The sequence below is a fragment of the Homo sapiens genome, chromosome 4 (genome assembly GCF_000001405.40).
Source record: "Homo sapiens chromosome 4, GRCh38.p14 Primary Assembly".
Lineage (NCBI taxonomy): Eukaryota > Metazoa > Chordata > Mammalia > Primates > Hominidae > Homo > Homo sapiens.
This window is the reverse complement of record NC_000004.12, coordinates 176349344-176350121: the sequence shown is the minus strand read 5'-3', so window position 1 is coordinate 176350121 and position 778 is coordinate 176349344.

Genomic DNA, 778 nt, shown 5'->3' with positions numbered 1-778 from the left:
AAATCACAGAGCTTCCAAGTGTTTTTATCCATTTTAATGAGTTACTAGCTGCTAATCTGTCTGCAGCTCCTTCAAGCACTCCAGTTCCTGGCATTTAGGTCAGGTGTGCCTGGGATGCTTTAAATATTTGTTCTTTTAATTTTGCAATATTCAAAGACAAGTTTGTAGAATGTCCTTCTAGATGCTTTTTTATTCTTTCATAAATTTTGATCTTATTGAGAGCTATTAATAGTTTCCACAAATCCTTATGTTTAGCTCCTAGAGCGGGCCATATCAGATTGAGATTGAGGTGCCACTATACCGCCATATTTCCACATAATAGGAACTCTTGCCATATTTCTTACTATTTCTACCATCTGACCATTTTGTTCAGACCAGCTAAACACAGTGTGGCCGTGGCATGCAGACTGAGAGGTGCAATTCAAGCTAAATGTCCCCTTAGGGGACCAGTTAATAATGATTCCATAGGAATTGTTGCATAGCACCTCTGTATGTTCTGCAATGCAATCTTCCCAAACAAGTATGTTCATTACTTCTGGCCAGGTCCAATCCTGTTTACAAATAGGTTTTTGAGGGTTGTATGCCTCAATTATAGGAGCAGATTTATTATAGTAAATACTAAGATCAGAAACATGTGTAACTGTGTCATAGAGTGATTACATCCAGGCATTATTGCCAGCCAAGATTGATAAATATGCCCAATATGTATAATTGTTCTCTGTGTCAGCCCTTGTTGAAGGAATACTCACAGCAATGGTGATCACCACTATCATAGCTA